The sequence below is a fragment of the Homo sapiens genome, chromosome 9, assembly GCF_000001405.40.
Source record: "Homo sapiens chromosome 9, GRCh38.p14 Primary Assembly".
NCBI classification, from domain to species: domain Eukaryota; kingdom Metazoa; phylum Chordata; class Mammalia; order Primates; family Hominidae; genus Homo; species Homo sapiens.
Window position 1 is genome coordinate 105,274,814 of NC_000009.12, and position 20,672 is coordinate 105,295,485.

The 20,672-nt window shown below is 39.2% G+C and overlaps 1 protein-coding gene across 7 annotated transcripts in view, besides 1 other annotated feature; it reads left to right on the forward strand.

Annotated features, from left to right (window-relative positions):
• SLC44A1 (solute carrier family 44 member 1) overlaps nucleotides 1–20,672 on the forward strand; it is a 193,854-nt gene that overhangs the window by 30,163 nt on the left and 143,019 nt on the right. The gene's annotated exons all lie outside the window — the stretch shown is intronic.
• Nucleotides 1,961–2,161: a silencer, noted in NCBI's record as "peak7312 fragment used in MPRA reporter construct". NCBI's record gives its function as "represses an SCP1 promoter by STARR-seq MPRAs in K562 erythroleukemia cells {active_cell/tissue: K562}" and the evidence as "EXISTENCE:reporter gene assay evidence [ECO:0000049][PMID:32103011]".

A 20,672-nucleotide genomic window follows, 5' to 3' on the forward strand; every position in this document is an offset into this window, starting at 1 on the left:
ATAGATAGGGTTAAGTGATTTGCCTGTGTCATGTAGTAGCTTCTTTTTAGTAGAGCCAGGAACTCTTAGTTATCTCATCCATTCCAATCTGTGAGTTTCTCAGGTGTTTCTATCTTTCATAACCTTGATCCTATTGAAAAGTAAGCACCTGTACTTTTAGAGCAATTATATAATTTGAAATCCACACATGTGGACCCATGTGAAGTTTAAATTCTTAACAATAATGATATAAAACAGTTCAATAGTATTATGATTTCAAATTTAATTTGAAGTCAGTTTGAAAAATAATAAATTTTTTTCTTCAGAAGTACAAAGTTAAAGGCTTGGAGCTAGTCTTGACAGGAGAGTAGTGTTTAAGAAACAACTATACAACCGTAGCATGTATTAGGGAGGCCTATCTCAATTTGTTGTAATGCTAGATTTACATCACAGATGGTAGCTTCAGCTTTGATTTTAGCTCTTTCATGGAAAATAATGTGTTTTACAGCATCAGGGATTGTAAACAAGTTCCAAAGTTGAGTGCATTTCAGAAGTTTTGGCATAGCTCTAAGCTTAGTAAATTCATCTTCAGAATGTCATGAATATTGAGTTTTTGTTGGTCATATTTTGCTTTCAGCTCTTGAATTTTGTTCATGAAAATGTGAGCCATGCAATGGGATAAATGCTTGGTAATTCAGGCCTGTCCCTGAGGGATCCACCTTGGAGGTAAACACAGACAATGAAAGTGTGATTCCTTATAAAATTTGTAACCTTCTTTTGAAATTGAGTTCTAGGAAATATTCTCAAAGTTTTAAATTTAGTGATTCTGTTGAGTTTGAGGATTGGTCAGCTTATGAAAAATGAATGCAGTCTCCTATTATTTGATCTACATGTCTGGTTTGAATCAGAGCACTTGTGTTTCCTTGATCATATCAGCAGTGCTACTGCTTTTTGCCCCCTGTAGTTTCAGTTTTGGTGTGTTCAGATGTCTTGTCACATCATGGAAGAACAATTTTTTTTTTTTTTTTTTGAGACGGAGTGCCGCTCTGTCGCTCAGGCTGGAGTGCAGTGGCGCGATCTCAGCTCACTGCAATCTCCGCCTCCTGGGTTCAAGCAATTCACTTGCCTCAGCCTCCCTAGTAGCGGGGATTACAGGTGCCTGCCACCATGCCCGGCTTATTTTTATATTTTTAGTAGAGACGGGGTTTCACCATGTTGGACCAGGTTGGTGTCAAACTCCTGGCCTCAGGTGATCCGCCCACCTCGGTCTCCCAAAGTGCTGGGATTACAGGTGTGAGCCTCCGTGCCTGCCTGGAAGAACAATCTTAGAGTCACCAGGGCGTCTGACAAGTTGAGCCACTCCAAGCCCTTTAATTCCAAGTGTCCTTGATCTGAGGAAGCAGCTTAATAAATCTCTTGAACAGGTTTTCACAGCCTAGCCATATGACTGCATTAAAATAAAGTCAACTTCTTTATACCTCTTCAAATATTTCTTGGATTTGTGAAGATTAAGGTGACTGAAGAGTCACAATCTCAATCTGTCACTGCTTTCATCATGTCATGCAGTGAACCTGATTCATTCATTCAGTAAGTAGTTTTTGAGATTTCTATGCCCTAGGAACTATTCTATGTACTGGGGATACAGCAAAGAACACCAAGCTTACTTATTTTTTAAGGGGACTAAACAGAGACACAGGTAAAATATACAGTATAGCAGATGAAGATATGTACTGTTTTGGAGAAAATTAAGTTAGGAAACGGGGATGGGGAGCCGTGTGTGTGTGTGTGTGTGTGTGTGTGTGTGTGTGTGTGTGTGTGTGTGTGTGTATGTGCCTGCAGTTTACAATAGGGTTGTCACGAAAAGCCTCACTGGGATGAGGGGGCAAACAAACTTGATATTTAAGAAAGGAACATTCCAGGCAGAAGGAATAGCAAGTGCAAAAGTCAGGAGGCAATCCTGAGAGCTCAGTAGCATCAAGAAAACCAGAGTGGTCTGAGAAGTGGAAGGAAGGGAACAGCAGGTCCAGGCTATTTTGTGCCCAAGCATCTAGGGTGTTGTTCCAAGCCATTATAAAAACTTGACTTTTGTTCTGCATGTGACAGGAAGATATTATGGGGTTTCGAGCAGAGGAGTAATAAGATCTGGCTTTCCAATCACGTTATTGAAACTAGTGTTGAGGGGACACGGGTGGAAGCAGATAGAAGGCTATTGCAGTAATAGAGGTGACAGATAATGGTGACTTGAACGAGAGTGGTAGCAGTGGAGAACTGATAGGACGTGGTCAGATTCTGGCCATATTTGGAAGACAGAGCCATCAGCATTTTCTGATGAACTGGATAGATGCTGTGAGAAAGTGGCAATAAGGTTTTCAGTCTGAACACCTGAAGGTGGAATTACTGTTTACTGAAGTAGGGAAGGCTGTTGGTGGAGCAGGTTGTGTAGAATATCAGGAGTTGGTAATAGATGTGTGTTGTGGATGAGACAATGGAACGTGAGTGTGGTCAGCCTCATCTCTTGAATACACTTCAGAAATTTGCACAACCCTCTCTTTACTGCAGTTACTCCATTCATGATAATGATTTAAACTTTTCAGTGTCTAAATCAAGTGTCTTAGATTCCCTGATGGCAGGTACTCGTGCCTGTTAGCTAACTGGGTTTCAAAGAAAATCTCAAATCTCAAGCAGGCCACACTCTGGTAAGCAGGTAGCACAAGATCCAGTGGTTCTATGGGGAGCCAAATGTTTCTGCTGCCACACCATATAGGTGAACCTGGAAAAAACAAGCAAACAAAAACAGAATAAAATGGAAGCCTCAACAATAATTGAAAAATACAATAAACAACCCATGTTTGCAAAATCAGGCACTGAAAACAATAGGGCTGATGGGAGTTGGGACGGACCAACTAAAACTGAGGAACTTTGTAAACCAAGTAGCCTAATAGGGCTTGGTCCTTCCCATGTAACCAAGTAGTGCATGGGAAGTACTCAAAAAATGTTAGTGGCAGTTCTGTTGTTGACACAAGAGTACTAAAAAACAAAATAAAACAAGAGCCAGCACAGTCAACTCTAACTGGTACTTGTTTCCAGTATCACAGTCAGAAAATTCTGTGTAGCTGTAAACCCTGGGGCTCATGCTTTCTTCTTTGGGAAATAGGTGTTAGAGGGTATTTTGCTTCCAATAGAGACCATTTGGATAAAAATTGAAAAGCTGATCCAGCATATAGCCTTCTTAATCCATTGTTTCAATACAGGGAGGAATGTATTTGCAGCCTTCTTTTTTTTTTTTTAAGACAGGGTCTCACTCTGTCACCCAGACTGGAGTGCAGTGGCGCTGTCTCCACTCACTGCAACCTCTGCCTCCCAGGCTCAAGCGATTCTCCTGCCTCAGCCTCCTGAGTAGGTGGGATTACAGGTGTGCCACTACCGCCTGGCTAATTTTTTTTTCTTTTTCTATTTATTTATTTATTTATTTATGAGATGTAGTCTCGCTCTGTCACCCAGACTGGAGTGCAGTGGTGCGGTCTTGGCTCACTGCAAACTCCGCCTCCCGGGTTCACACCATTCTCCTGCCTCAGCCTCCCGAGTAGCTGGGACTACGGGCGCCCGCCACCACGCCCGGTTAATTTTTTGTATTTTTAGTAGAGATGGGGTTTCATCATGTTGACCAGGAGGGTCTCGATCTCTTGACCTCGTGATCCACCCGCCTCGGCCTCCCGAAGTGCTGGGATTACAGGCGTGAGCCACCGCGCCTGGCCTTTTTGAATTTTTAGTAGAGACTGGGTTTCACTATGTTGGCCAGGCTGGTCTCGAACTCCTGACCTCAAATGATGTACCCGCTTCGGCCTCCCAAAGTCCTGGGATTACAGGCATGAGCCACCATGCCTGGCTGTATTTGCAGCTTTCTCATCTGCATTTGCAGCTTTGCCAGATAACTTAGAAGGAAAGTATAGTGGTTTTTGAAGCCACTGAATCAGCTACCACATATGCTAAAGTAAGTCACTTCTGTAGACTTTCAGCTTTTTTTTCCGCCTTTAAGGTCATCTTATATTGCCAAGGCTTTCTCTTTAATCATGAGAAAACTTGTCTATGCTTGAAAACATTATTATGCTGAGAAAAATTGCATGTGAGCCAATGTGACTTCACCATTATGCCAACAGCATTCATCTGTTGCCAGTCAGATATGAGGTAATGCTTGTCAAAGAAACTGCAGCAGAACAAACTGTGCTGCTGACCTAGGACTCCTTAGATTTGCCCTTCAACCCGGGAACCAAACTCAGATCTACCTCCTTATTGATAGTCTAGGATTTTTCAGTTTAAAATAGGTATTCCCCGGGAGGCGGAGCTTGCAGTGAGCTGAGATCGCACCACTGCACTCCAGCCTGGGCGACAAAGCAAGACTCAAAAAAAAAAAAAAAGGTATTCAGTAAGAACAACTTTAAGTTATTTTAATAATATGCTCAAAAAACATTTGAAAAAGCTCAACATCTATTTTTTTTAAGCCATTTTAAAACTAGGAAAAGAAAACTTTTTTTTTTTTTTTTTTGAGACGGAGTCTGACTCTGTTGCCCAGGCTGGGGTGCAATGGCACAATTTCGGCTCACTGCAACCTCCGCCTCCCGGGTTCAGCTGATTCTCCTGCCTCAGCCTCCCGAGTAGCTGGGACTACAGCTGCACACCACCATGCCCAGCTCATTTTTGTATTTTTAGTAGAGACGGGGTTTCACCATGTTGGCCAGGATGGTCTCAATCTCTTGACCTCGTGAGCCGCCCGCCTCGGCCTCCCAAAGTGCTGGGATTACAGGCGTGAGCCACTGCGCCTGGCCGAGAAAACTGTATCTTTAATAAGATCCACTGTCTTAAACCAACAAGTCAGTCTTGTACTCGACAGTGATACAGTAGGGCATCTTCAGTTTACATCAGGAATATATAAACCTTCTATCACCATTAACATTGTTCTAGAAGTTCTAACTCGTGCAATAATCCACCATACCAAAGTAAGTATAATGATCTGAGAGGAGATAAAATACAAAAAAAAGAAAATCAACTAAAAATTACAAGTGCTGTATTTGGTAAGTATACAAAAATCAGTATCTTTCTCAAGTGTTAGCAATAACCAGTTAGAAACATGTAGCATAAAAAAATCCCATTTATCAAAGCGTCAGCAAATATAAAATTAGAAATAACCCTAACAAATATGTCCAGTTGAAATGAAGAAAACTATAAAACTTTTCTTGAGGTTTTTAAAATAAATAAATGAACTAGAGGGACATACATTGTTTCTGAATACAAAAACTAGAATATTGAGATGTCACTGTTCCAATTAAATTTAACGTGATTTGAGTAAAATTGACAAAATGATTTACAAAATGATTCTAAGCAAGAAGCATAAAGGGAGGACTAATATCAAAATTAAAAAATAGTGGTCAACACTGTGTTGCAGTTTAGCAATAATGGTCATGAGTTGAGGTATTGGAGGTAGAGTATAGGATTCCAGGTCTAGCTCTGATTTATCAGCCACATGACTATGGCCCAGGTACCTAATGTCTTCAAGGATAACTTTACTCACCTGTAAAGTGTAGGATTAAATGAGATAAAGAGTTGAGCAAATTGCTGGTGCTTGGGAAGTACTCAAAAAGATGTTAGTTGCTATTTTGTTGTTGACCAAAAGTTAATGGAAGGTAATAGTCTACACATAGACCATAGTATAAATAAGAATTTATTATTTGTTAAATTAGCTGTTCTGAATTAACAGTATTACTCACACTATACGTCAAAATAAATTCCATGAAACCATAAACAGGTATTAATAGAAGAAAACAGTATTAAATAGCTGAAGAGCTTTAAAGTGTTGAGACAAGGTCTAAAGTCAAGTTGATTTGGCTGTACAAAAATTTGTTTCCACAAAAAGAAAAACAAATTGGGTAACAAACTGAGGCACAAGTAGTGTTGTATTGGTGTTTAACAACCAGCTCTCCAAGTGAAGAAAAAAAATCCAGATTTGCTACATTTGCTGATTTCCATGGTGTATATACTCCCACTATGACTAATTTTAAGCTACCGATGTAAAGTCCATGAGCAGAAGTTAGGAAGAAATGTTCAAGGTTGTCTCTCATGAGCTGGTGTGAGTCAATGTGAGATCACTGCAGCACACAAATGGCACAGACATGGCAGGACATGCTGAGAAACCCTCTTAAGATCACCCAGCCCACCGAGGTGAACCTGTGACTCCCAGGCCAGAGCACATTCCTTTTTGTAGTTGCCTTCCCCAGGAAGCATAAGATAGACATAACAGAGCAAAAAATTCACTGTTGTCATGGAGAGCACCTTGAGGGAGCTGGACCTGTAGATGCTCTCAGTAGAGAAATCCCTGTAGGGTGGCTGGGGCGTACCCTGGGAGCAGCCTCTTTGGGAACAAAGTCATACAATGACTGAAGATTAAGGAGAGGGGTGTTGCTAGGCAAATGCTCTGGACCAGAACAGAGATGTTCCTCTGGTGCCTTCTTTTCTTTCCGAAACCTATGATATTCTTGGCAGTGGCACATGTGTTTTACTCTCTTCCTTGATAAGGTGCTTATAGTCTTTCTCTTTGTTTTTTTACTATCTTTTTGATATTATTTAATTATTGCCTATAATAGTTTTCATAAATGTGGTCACCAGAAAGATGAGTCATGGAGGCAGTGGTAGTATATGAATGCATGAAGGGTTGTGTCTAGGAGTGACGACTAAGGTGATATCTTGTTGTAAAGGATGTGTCTGATACGGGCCAGGCAGACATGATATCGTCTGGAAGGGAGGTTTGAAGGTATAGAGGCTTGGGGTCCTTTGCCATGTTTGTTGACATAGGGCTTCCATCAGGGGCTTGCACTTTTTATTCTACAGTGGATGACTACTAGCTGGTCATTTCGTAACCCAGGCTTACATGTGCCATCTTAAAATGGGTTGTTCCTTTGTGATTGCATCTGTAGTTCTAATAGAAGATCAGCTTATTCTTGGGTGGACTTTGTGGAAAGAAGCAGGATTTAACTGGCTTTCAGAGAAATGAAGACTTTGTGAATTTGGGAGCCATATTGTTTAAGTTGTATAGTTATTTGAAGCCTGTGACTGAGAATCATTACTTAGGGCAGTACAGAAAGAACCAATTGACATGGAGTGGGATGGGGTACAGAGACTGAGGAGAGAAGAAAATAGTTACTTTTGTGGGATTAACACAGATTAATTTTACACTGTGAGAAAAGTAGCTGTAACAGACACATAGAAGACTGGCTGGTGGGCAAGATAAATTGCCGTAATTGTATACAAACCAGTGCAGGTCTGTCTGAGCTTGGGACCTGGCTTTACAAGTGGGATGTCTTAATGACTCATTGGGTGTGGAGGTTTATAGATACATGTGTTTTTAGAGCATTTACTTATTCAAGTTAGGCTTATTAGCATTCATTTTTCTTGGTTGCTTTTTTTTTTTTTAAGAACAAATTTAGTATCTCTCATTTGTAGAGCTATTAATTTGATGGTTCACTGTTCCCCCTCACTTATTTGAGTGTGTCTAATCTAATCACTTTTGATCTTTAGCTGGCTTTCCTTAACTCAGCTTCTGGTGTGCCCATATGTTTTCTTGTGAATGTTTGCTGATCATGGAATCATTGAATGTCAAAGTTGGAAAGGACTGCAATAGTCTTCTGATCAGACTGTCAATTTGATGTTTGAGTCCTCTGTGTTATTTCCTTCTCTACTTGCTTCTTAATAATAGATTGGGTCTTGATTTTTTTTTTCTTTTTTTGAGATGGAGTCTTGCTCTGTCAGCCAGGCTGGAGTGCAGTGGTGCAATCTCGGCTCACTGCAACCACCGCCTCCTGGGTTCAACCAATTCTCCTGCCTCAGCCTCCTGAGTAGCTAGGATTACAGGCGTGCGCCACCATGCCCGGCTAATTTTTGTATTTTTAGTAGAGACGGGGTTTCACCATGTTGGCCAGGCTGGTCTTGAACTCTGACCTCGTGATCCACCCCCCTTGGCCTCCCAAAGTGCTGGGATTACAGGCGTGAGCCACTGCGCCTGGCACGTCTTGATTTTTTAATAGTTGGAATTTGCCAAGAAGGAGGATTTGGGGGTTTTGTGACGATATATCATCTTCATATACAGCAGTCACTTGGAGATAACCCATTGGTCATACTTAGGGGTAGCTGAAGGTCAGCTGGTTATCTGATGCTGAAATGTCAGTGCACATTCAGTGGCCCGTGCTGCAGGATACTTCAACCTTTAATTTTAAACCTTGGGCCACAGATGGGAGTTTAGTTGGACTTTGGACCCAAATTGTAAGGCCAGGTTAAACTCAGCACTCTCATGCTCCTAGGACTTCCTCCATGGTTCTGATCTATTTCCGGGCATGGAGCGGGTGCTGAAGGTTGGTTGATTGTGGAGAAACAACCTTGTTTTATCCAAAGATAGTAAGGCAAGCCTGCAGATCTAAGAGCTGCTTATTTGTAAATTATACTGAAATGCTAGGAGAAGTTCTCTGGAAACGGTCTAAATTGTAGTTCTTTAATATTTTCTGCTTGTAGAATTTGAATGGGAAGTACTTGGTGTGGTTTAGGTTTTACCAAGGAAGGCCAGCTGATAGCTGTGAAGAGGCGCTCTGCTAAGTGTCATTGACCTTAGAATCCACAAAGCTCTGGGGCTTTGGAGACTTAGAACTTTATTTTGCTAGATTTAAAGTGTACTCTTCTCTTAACGTAGAATTCATGTAAAACTACATCATAAGACACACCTATCAACCCAGCAGGCTAATTTATTCAAGAATCAACTGACAGGCAGACCAGAAATTTTTTGTCAGTTTGGTAAGTGTGAAAGTAAAGCCAAATTATTATTATTTAAGAACTATTACATTTATTCTTAATAGAAAAGTAGTATGGTTATTTTTTAAAAATCCAATCCCAATATGTGCGAGTCCTTTCTCATTCCACCTTATGAGATAACAAATGTTAGCAGCTTAGTCTGTATATATTCTTCCCAAGTGTCTGTAATTGCAATAAGCTCCATTGCTCTATTGCTTTATTTTTCTGTAGTTCTCTAGTTATGTTTTGCACTCCACTTGTCAACCTGTGGAAGGCAAGAGCACAGTCAGAAGGTTGCCTGATGACATGGAATCAGATGAAGGGAAGGGGAGTAGGCTGGATGACCCATGGTGCAGCCTCAGTTCAGTAGCCTGAATTGTCTATTCAGCAGTAAAAGCACGTCTGCATGAGAAGCTAGGTGCCAGAGTTCACTCTTCTAGGACCCTTTCCCCAACACAGTTTGGAAGGACAGTATCAAGGTTTATCTGTCACACTTTTATTTTTCACTATAACTACCCAGGTACAAATCCTGGCACCTAATAGGTGCTAAGTAAATAGTAGTATGTGTCTACCTGCCCTATCCATTTCCTATTTTCTGACAAATACAGTCTTTTTTTTTTTTTTTTTTTAAGAGATAGGGTCTCACTTTGTTGCCCAGGCTGGTCTTGAACTCTGAGCTCAAGCAATCCTCCCACATCAGCCTCCCAAAGTGCTGGGATTATAGGCATGAGCCACTGCACCCGGTCCTGACAAGTACAATCTTTCTGTAGCTGTGTTTATACTGCAGTCTGGTTTTGCCTTGTCACGTGAGTCCTTTGATCTCTATAAGATGATTTTTCTAATTCAGATCTATTTTATGTTATATTTTAGTTGTCTGCAACATTATTTACCCTCTTCCCTTGTGTTGCCTACAGAGGGATTGAAAGTCAGCACCTTATCTAGTAATTCTAGTAACTTCTGATTTCTCAGAAACATGATTTTGTTCATCAAATTTCATTATTACCCAAGTCTTTACCTTAAAGACCTTCCACTTTCATCTCGTATATCTGATGCGGTAGCTATATGAAAAGTGTTCATATGGAGTCTGTCATGAAGTCAGCAGAACTCTGCAGGTGAAGTGGCCAATGTGGACCCTTTGAAGTGTTTTAATGTGATTTCTTTTATACATATAACAAATTTATTGAGATATAATTCATATACCATACAAAATGATTTTTAGTATGTTCATAGAGTTGAATAGCCACCGCCACAATCAGTTTTAGAACATTTTTATCACCTCAAAAGAAACCCCATACCCATTAGCAGTCATTCCCCATTTCCTCTCAACTCCCACTTTCTGTCTCTATAGATTTGCCTATTCTGGGTATTTCATATACATTGAATTATATAATATATGGGCTTTGTGCCTGGTTTCTTTCACTTAGAATGTTTTCAAGGTTCATTCATGTTGTAGCATGTGTGTATCATTACTTCATTCCTTTTTATTGCAAAATTATATTCTATGGCATGGATGTACCATATTGTGTTTAATCACTCATCAGTTGATGGGCATTGTATGTGATTTTTTTAATAGCAAAGTAGCACTTTAAGTATTATTGTTTTTGAAATACAATCAAGTGTTTTACAGAATTTAGGTGGAAGTTACAGATGGCTAGGAGGAAACAACAGTTTGTTTCTGCCTGTTAAATATCACTGCAGGTGTTTTCTTCAAATATCAAGAGTAATATTTGGACATTTGGAAATTACCTTTGAAATCAAAAGACAAAATATGTTAATAACATGCTATTCTTGGTTATGACCTATAATTTTCCTGTAAGAAAAAGTTAACCATGTAAAAAAAAATAATTTACCCACTGTCTCACGCGTCCATGTGAAGAGACCACCAAACAGGCTTTGTGTGAGCAACAAGGCTGTTTATTTCACCTGGGTGCAGGCGGGCTGAGTCCGAAAAGAGTCAGCAAAGGGTGGTAGATTATCATTAGTTCTTATAGGTTTTGGGATAGGTGGTGGAATTAGGAGCAACGTTTTGCGGGCAGTGGGTGGATCTCACAAAGTACATTCTCAAGGGTGGGGAGAATTACAAAGAACCTTTTTAAGGGTGGGGAAGATTACAGAGTACATTGATCAGTTAGGGTGGGGCAGAAACAAATTACAGTGGTGGAATGTCATCAGTTAAGGCTATTGTCACTTCTTTTGTGGATCTTCAGTTGCTTCAGGTGATCTGGATGTATACGTGCAGGTCACAGGGGATATGATGGCTTAGCTTGGGCTCAGAGGCCTGACACCCATCTGGCCAACATGATGAAACCCCGTCTCTATTAAAAATACAAAAATTACACAGACATGGTGGCATGTGCCCGTGGTCCCAGCTACTTGGGAGGCTGAGATGGGAGAATCACTTGAACCTGGGAGGTGGAGGTTGCGGTGAGCCGAGATTGCGCCACTGCACTCCAGCCTGGGCGACAGAGTGAGACCCTGTCTCAAAAAAAATTTTTTATTTTAGATAAATTAAGCTGTAGAATGTACTGCGGTATTTTTACTGCAATTCTTACGCCTCTCATTTTCCTCTTTTCCCTCCTTTTTTCCACATAGTTCATTCCACAGTGTCTACACAGGATATGCTAACCACAGTAAACAGAGCGCAGCAAAGTGTCATGGGTCCTGGCCCAACTGTCTGGTTCACATTCCTGCTGTAGTACGTACTGACCATTTGAGTTGGGCATATTACTTAACCCCCTTTGTCTCAGTTTCCTCATCAGTAAAATGGGAATAATAACAACATCAACTTCATAACACTTGTTCTGAAGAATAAATGAGTTAATACAGGCAAAATGGCACATGGAATATGCTCAATAATATTAGCTAAAATCTGTCTCTTTGTATGGTATTATGATTTAGTGTTACACAGTCACTTTAAGTACTTGTATAAAACATCATTTTGGTAATAGTCTTAATTTTGATTGATCTATAATCTTTTTCTACCTTAATACGTGCAGCTTTTCCTATAATTTCGCCAACCCTCAATTACGAACTCAAATGGGTTGTGTTATAAAAGGGAGGACAACCAGGCACAGTGGCCCATGCCTGTAATCCCAGCACTTTGAGAGGCCAGGGCAGGAGGATCACTTAAGGCCAGGAGTTTGAGACCAGCCTGGGCAACATAAACGAGACCCCATCTCTACAAAAAATAACAATATCAGCCAGGTATAGCAGTGCATGCCTGTAGTCCTAACTACTCAGGAGGCTAAGGTGGGAGGATTACTTGAGCCCAGAAGTTTGAGGCTGCAGTGAGCTATGATCCTGTCACTGCGTTGCAGCCTGGGTGACAAAACAGGATTCTCTCTTTAAAAAATAAATAAAATAAAATATGAAAGGGAGGACAGAAAGGGTAGAACCCAGAGACAAGGAAGGTAAATTAGCAAGAGAACAGCAGAAAGGTGAAAGTAAAGTAGCTGAATCTCTTAAGCTCCAAGCACCCTTCCTTTTATATGATAAGTTATTTATTGAATGAATGGATTTTTAAGTTTGGTTGATTACAGGTTTCAGAATTGAAGTTTCCTTCAACTTCCTTTAAAACTTTAAGACCTCACAGTCTGTATGTTTATCAAAACATCATGTTGTACACCTTAGATATATATACTTTTTACTACTCAATTATACCTCAGTAAAGCTAGGTGGAAAATTTAAGCTATAAAAAAGGCATTTCAGTTTTTCTCATTGTATTGTCATTTGAAAGTTACTATTAATTTGTTTCTTACACAATTGTCTATAAAACTGTGTACTCATTCGTTGCTTCTGGTTGTATTTCCCTTACAACTAGTTTTTCAGTTTTCAAACACACATTTTATAATATGTACAGTATGGGAACAACTTAAAGATGTTTGAGATGAATATTTGTGGGAACTCACTTTTTTTAATGCTTCATAGGGAAGATTTTCCTGTATCCCACTAGGAAAGGACATAACAATGATTTAGGGCTTAGTCCTAGGAACTTAAAATCATTTATCCTGAAAACAATGCATGCTATAGAGTAGTTGTCCTTACCTTGCAGGTGGGGAGGTCAGTTCAGCTGATCATCTACTGTTTAGAAGACTAGCTAGAATTCAAGCCCAGGTTTGTGTTCCTTTCCCTCTCCATACCTGTTTACCTCTCTAAATTGCCAGTTTTCCTGCATTCTTCAGGAGAAATCTTGCTCCTACCTGGGTCATTCTCAGCATACAGCTTTCTAAGGAAATTTGAAGTGTTCTAATCTCCCATCAATAAGTGTTAGGTTAAATGACTTAAACATTTTCTGGTGGTTTTGATATATAGGTGATATAATGAGGAAGTAGAAAAAGCATAATCTGGATAAATGGGAGCATATATTATATATAATGTATGTTATTTCTTTCATAATTAAATAGCATTAATGGAAATCAGAATGGGAAAAATGCATTATAAATCAAATTACTTAAAAATTGCATCATCCCTTTCTAATGCTTACATATTTGCATATTCTCCTTTGCATATTTGTATAATCAGAGCATAGATGCAATTTCAAACCATGTTTCTAACACAACTGTTTATTATAATCATTTTTATATGTTACTATACAGTCTTCATAGTTATTTTTATGACTTTAATATCCCAGTTGTAGATTTATTTTCTATTATTGGATAGTTAATTTGTAATTTTTTTTCTCATAATAGCATTGTATTGAACATGTGGAGCTATTTTAATGTTTTTTTTGTTTGTTTGTTTTTTGTTTTGAGACAGGGTCTCGCTCTGTCGCCCTGGCCGGGGTGCGGTGGCATGATTACGGCCCACTGCAGCCTCCATTGCCAGGGCTCAAACGATTCTACCACCTCAGCCTCCCAAGTAGCTAGGACCACAGGTGTGTGCCACCACACCTGGCTAATTTTTTAATTATTTATAGAGACGAGGTCTCACTATGTTGCCCAGGCTGGTACTAAACCCCTGGGATTAAGCGATCCTCTAGCCTCAGCCTCTCAAAGTGCTAGGACTACAGGCATGAGCCACCATGCCTGGTCCTATTTTAATATTTCGGATTATTTCCTTGGGCTTCTGAAATGTATTGCCAAATTACTTTCTAAAAGTGGTTAACCAATTTACATTGCTTTCAGTTTCTTAACCAATGTTATCAGCGTTCTGAAAGTTTTTCAGTGAGAGTAGTATCCTAACTATGAATTCTTATTCTCTGATTTCTAGAAATATAATGAGAGAGGTCAGCATTGTCTGCAACCACTTACCCCAATGGGTGTATGACCAAATATGTTTTGGAGAATCTTACAATAAAGGCTCAAAGAAATCCTTCTTGAAAGACTGGACTTCGTTAACCCGCATTTCCAAAACTTATTTAAAATGGGATTAATTTTTCTCATATAATCCATTAACAAACATCTTTGGGAAATGCCAGCCATATAATATCTGCGGGAAAAGGAATCTGCTTATGATGCAATAGATACTTTTTGGGTAAAAAATCTCATGTAGGGGAAGCGGTAAGGCCGTCTGTTCTAACATCATGCCACTCCAGTGGTAAGAGACCTAGCCTGGTTTATTTATTCACTAAATAAATGTGCTGAGAGCCTATTTATGTGCTAACTGCGGTAACTATTGGGGACATAGGAGTTAACAAAGTCAAGTCCCTGTCCCCAAGTAGACGATAAAGTGGGAAGACTGAACATTATATATGCAACCATTTAGGGGAAGCTTCTGTACACATTGTTTTGCATGGAATAGGTTTTCATTTGAAGAATATTTGAGTGCTTTCTATAAACAATGTTAATCCCTGGGTTAAACAAAAAATAGACACATTACACTTACCATCAAAAAGGTCATCTACTGGGAAAACATAAATAATTATAATATGGAATGATAATTACTGTGATGGTATTTACATAGTGTGCTGTAGAAACACAAAGGAAGGGAACCTAGTTCACCTTACGGGTTCCTCTGGTAGGGATTTGGTTCACTTAAGAGTTTTATGCCACTGTCGTAGAACTGAACACATATTTGTTTCAGTGCGTGACTGCTGTGAACTAAAAACATCTTAATTGACAAAGACAATACCTAATTTTGATTTAGAACATAAATTTACCAAATTCTGCCCACCTATTTGCTATATTATGATCAGTGCAATCTTTATGTTACTTCTGTATAAGTCATTATAAGTCAGTTCTCAGTGTTTTTTTTTGTTTTTTTTTTTGTTTTTTTGAGATGGAATTTTGCTCTGTTGCCCAGGCTGGAGTGCAATGGTGGAATATCAACTCACTGCCACCTCTGCCTCCCAGGTTCAAGTGATTCTCCTGCCTCAGCCTCTTGAGTATCTGGGATTACAGGTGCCCACCACCATGCCTGGCGAATTTGTTTGTATCTTTAGTAGAGACAGGGTTTCACCATGTTGGCCAGGCTGGTCTCGAACTCCTGACCTCAGGTGATCCACCCTCCTTGGCCTCCTAAAGTGCTGGGATTACAGGCGTGAGCCACCGCACCTGGCCTGTAAGTCAATTTTTATCTGTTCCATCATGGAAAAGAGAGCAAGATTGGAGTAAGAATCTTATATTGCATATGCATGAAATTTTAAAAAATGGTTACAGGATAGCCAAAAAAGTCAATACACCCATTAACAGTCTGGAAACTGACTATACTGTAGCAGATGGGAGGTGCGAAGTAGAGCTTTGGTCTATCAGTCTGTCCTTGGTATCATCAAGTACTGAAGAAATTCTGACCCTTGTAGGATGTGATAGGAAAAAAATGAAGCCCATGAAAACTATAATTTAAAAAAATTAAATAGTAATTTTAAATTATAAAGGTTGCTTACCACTGATTCAGGAGAAAGACAGGTTAGAGATACTGTTTGAGGATTGCAGGCAAGGCTTGTCTGTATAATTTTGATTGTTTCTTTGATAATAGAGGTAAAATATGTTATTAGCTATGTTGCAGAGCAGGATTAACTTGGCCTCTGCCCAGTAATTATCACGTGTTCATATGCAAGAAAGACAGTCATTGAGAAGTCTGATGCAAGAGAGACATCTTTGTAACAGGCCCACAATTATTTTTTAGGGGAATTGGAGGCAGAATGAAGTCATTGGCAATTTATCTCTCTGTGATCTTTCTATCACTATATAAATACCTAACTTACAAAGCAGCTCTAGTTGCCATTTCCCCCTTTCTCCTTAAATGGATGAATGTTTGTGATTTAGCATAAAGTTCATGAACTAAGAAAAGCAGTTGGGCACAGAATCCTGTATCTTTCCACGCAGTGTATCTTAATACCTTTAACTGTCTGTTAAAATAATGCTTTTAGTTTTACCTTTCCATAATGAATTGCCATCACCAGGCTTAGCAAATGAAACAGATTACTTATGGTAACCGTAAGTAGTTATGCACTCCAGATCCTTGACAGAGCCTTCCCAAAGGACAGGCAATGTCTTTCAAAATCCTATTACAAGATTTTATTTGCAGATGCTAGGAACAGAAGGCTAGAGCCTCCATAGTTTATTGCTACTCAACTTCATCAGGTCTGCTCACTCTATTGAAAACTGTGGCAAAAATGATATACATCAGCTCTTTTATTTTTTTGTTACCACTCTGTGCAAATAAAAGCATATTGGGGAATTTAATGAAGCAGTATGTCCTTGGAGGGAGCTTTAAAGATTCTGAGTGTACAACTATTTGTCTTTAATACTGGAGGTTTCTGTGTAAAACTGGCAGGAGCAAAATAAAGTCTTCACAGACCAATGTTTGCCACATACACACTTGAATCGCACAAATGTCTACGCAGCGGTGACCTTGGAGATGGATGCATTCAGTGACTATTATAGTGGCTTTTGAGGTGTGTCAGGGAGTAGTTAGGACAGTGAAAACTACAGCAGAGCTGCTGGAACTGTGGGATTGTTTTGGAGATGGTCGGCTACCTCAGGAAGTGAAGACTGTGATGTTCAAACAAAAAATTGGGGGAGGGGTTGATTACTCAACAAATTACCCAATTCAACCCAAGGACACATTCTGGACTCTGTGCTTGATGAGAGTACATCTTAGCTTGCTTTGGCCTTCTCAGGTATAGTGGCTTTTCATCAGAATCTGGGAAAAGTAGCAGTGATGGATCTGTGCTGCAAAGGTCTAGGCACACAGGAAGAATAGCATTCCTTTGCTTGTCATGAGGTATAGGCTTCAGGTTATATGGGATTCCTGGCCTGCCAGCTTAACTCTCCTTACTAGTGACCTGTAAGAACACAAGTATATGTTGATAACCTTGTCAGAAGGATACTCTTGATTGTGCGTAAATTTCTAAGCTTCAGTACTTTGTTAGTAGTTAATACTTTTATACCTCCCAGTTGATCAGAAAAAAATATAAGAGTATGAGTGGTGCTGTAATTGTGAAATGGCAGCCCAAATGGTATTGGAATCTATAATGGTTGGTCTCTTACTTGTTTGCAGGCTTAACCCTGCCCATATACCACTTCTCTTCCCTGGGACCAGCCTCCGAGGCTGCTATTTATTGTTACTTTGAATGTCGGAGAATGCAGTTCTCTGGCTTAGTCTGGGGGAATGCCAAAGGAGCATGTAGTCCTTTAGCCTGTCAGAAATTCCAAGTTGCAGCACCTCTAGATATATGTGACCAGATAGTACTTAACTCATTGTTAGTAGGAATCTCACCAGTGACATCTACATGAAAATATTATTCCAGTAGCTTAGTAAATATAACCCTACACAATAAGTGTCAGAAAACAAAGGAAGATATTTTTCCTCATTTCTGAGGCTGAAAGGCCTCTTCCTAACTGGAGCCACAAAATCTTTAGTGTGTAAAAAAATCTTGAAATGAAGTGAGAAATGGCTGATTTCTTTTTTTAAAGCAACTTAATGTCCTGTTTGCTACTAAACATTTCTGGGTGTAATAATTCTTATTTAGCAGTCAATATTTCCCCATGATAACAACCAAGAATTTTTAGAATGTTTTGGGGCACAAAACACATTCTATTTTAGACACTGAAAGATCATTTTAATGTTTGCCTCAGAATATAAGCTGCAAAAGTTTATGAGGTAATTTCAACAGTTCTCACAAACGTTTCCTTAATGTTCCCCATGTCTATTCCTGCAGTACCTTTTCTGTCTCTATCTTGGCAAATCTCATGCTATCGTAGTACTTGGTTTGTCTCTTTCCCACTTAAACTAGAGCTCTGGGGCTGTCTTACTTGTTGCATCTCAAGTATTTTGTGTGGTGCCCAGTATTTATTTGAAGAATCAAAGAAATGCTTAAGAATATTTTCTGAAGCTGGGTCTGGTGGCTCACGCCTATAATCCTAGCACTTTGGGAAGCCAAGGCTTGATCCAGGAGTTCGAGACCAACCTGGGCAACATGGTGAAACCCAATCCATTTAAAAAAAAAATTAACAGAGCATGGTGGTGTGTGCCTGTAGTCCCAGCTACTCAGGAGGCTAAGGCAGGAAGATCACTTGAGCCTGGGAGATCAAGGCTGCAGTGAACCATGATTGTGCCACTGCACTCCAGCCTGGGTGAGTGAGCAAGATCCTGTCTCGAAAAAAAAGAATATTTTCTGAAAATCAAGCAGCTTCATATAATTGACTCTAACCTTTTTATAGCACATTTTCCATTATTTTAAAACCTGGTGTATGAAGGAAAGATTGATAGCATTAGGTAGTACTCTTATTGTATTACTTATAAGAATTTTTTGGGAAGCTTTGTACTTCTGCCTTAATTAGGAGAAAGTCATACAGGCAGTAAGCACAGAGTATGAAAAGGGAGCAGGAATATTCAGTCTTTGCCTTTAGATATTACCCAGATGTCTTCTGACTTCCAGGGTTTTGGACCCTACCTGCCTCAATATTTGAGACCTAGTAACTCTTTTTGTATGTAATCTGGATCGTTGATAATGCTTGTCTGATCTTTTGATACCTTCCTAATCCTGCCAGCCTGGCCTAATTCTGTGCACTTGATGCATAATTGCCAGACCTTTTCTACTTAATTGGCCCCTGGCGTTGGCCCACCCTGCCTGCCATATCACTGTTGATCCCTCCAGTGACGGCTAATTTGACCTAATTGTTTATAACATATCACTTACCAAAACCTCTGTGTTTTACTATTATCTGCAAATACATTTATTCAACAACTGTATCTTTATTTGCAATAACATGGAAATTTAGATTAAAACATTTTACAGATTTGTTTACTAAAAAAAATACACCCTTACTATAGCATATCAAATTCACCAGAAGGCCTTGGGTTTAGTTATTAGGGCTCATGGTGAATGTGGAGTCTAAGACATAGTAGTACTATGACTTCTCTAAGAGATACCATGGAAGCTAAAAAATTAGATATCTATGCTGTACAAAATATAGGAAGGCATGTGAAGGTGTTACACATTGTTCCTCCCTAACTTTAAGGATATAAATGTACAAACAAGAGGTATGTGCCAGCTGTGGTCTGACTTAGAATTGTTCTTGAATTCTCCAGTAGTAGTATTAGAAATTGTAATTCTGCCTTCCAGATTACTAACCTTGTATATGTGTGCAAAAAAAGCCTGTACTGTGGATATTGTTGTAGGAATATATTCACACACTTATTTTTAAACATTAAAAAACCTTTTATTATGGAAAATCTCAAACCTTCATTTTAGCCATTTTTGGAAATCTTTTAAATCTTCTTTTGTACCTCCAAGTTTGTCTGGTATCAATTCCTTGTGCCTGAAGAACTTTCCTTAACATTTCTTACAGTTCAGGTCTATGGCTAATAAATTCTGTCACGTGTTTTGGTTTGAAAAGTGTTCATGTCTGAGAGATCTTCTGTCAGCGTAGAATTTGGGGTTGGTAGTTGTTTTTTTTTTCGTTTTCCTTTCAGCGATTTAAAGATGTCATTCTGTGGTTTTCTACTTTTCATAGTTTCTAACAAGAAGACTACTGTAATCTTTGTTTTTCTGTATGTGATGTGTCTTTTTTTACCCCTCTGGCTGCCTTCAAGAAGATCTTTGTATCTTTGGCTTTCAAGGGTTTGAGTATAATAGGTGTAGGGGGTGTGTGTTTGTGTATTTATTCTGCTTGGGATTCTCTGAACTTCTTGGATCTGTGCTTTGATTTCTTTCATTATTTTTGGAAAATTTGCAGTCATTTTTTTCAAATATTTCCTCTGCCTCATTCTGTCTTCTTCTTGGATTTCAATTACATGTATGTCATATCATTTGTTATTATCCTATAGTTCTTGGATGCTTTATTCTGGTTTTTAAATTTTGAGTCTGTGTGTGTGTGTGTGTGTGTGTGTGTGTGTGTGTGTGTGTGTTTCAGTTTGGATAATTTCTGTTAACCTGTCTTTGAGTATACTGATTTTTTTCCTTGCCTGTGTTTAGTACACTGGTGAGCCTGAGAAAGGCATTCTTCATCTTTGTTACCATGTTTGTTTGTTTGTTTTTAGTATCCCTGGATCCTGTCTTACAGTTCCTGTTTTTCTGCTAGAGTTTGAGGACTCAGGTTTCAGACATAGATTTTCCACTTGTTTTCTTTGATTTTTGTTTTCCTATTCTATAAATTAGAAAAGTCAGGAGTATATAGTAATTAACAGAATTGTTTTAGGAATCAAATGCGGTCATAGATAATATAAATGTATGCCCTTGGGCAAGCCTCTTCTCTTCTCTGGGTTTCAATCACTCTCACTAAAGGCTTGGATTATATGATTATTTTGGTACTATTCAGTTCCTAAACCGCAAGATCCTGTGAAGGGGAGAGACCTAACATTTACTGAAAGCCTGGTATTAATCTCATGTGGAATCTGAGAAAGGGGTAAAATCACATTTAAAAAGTGCTGTTGCAAAACAGTTTACTTTTGCTAGGTCTATGCAGAATTTTAATTGGAAGAAA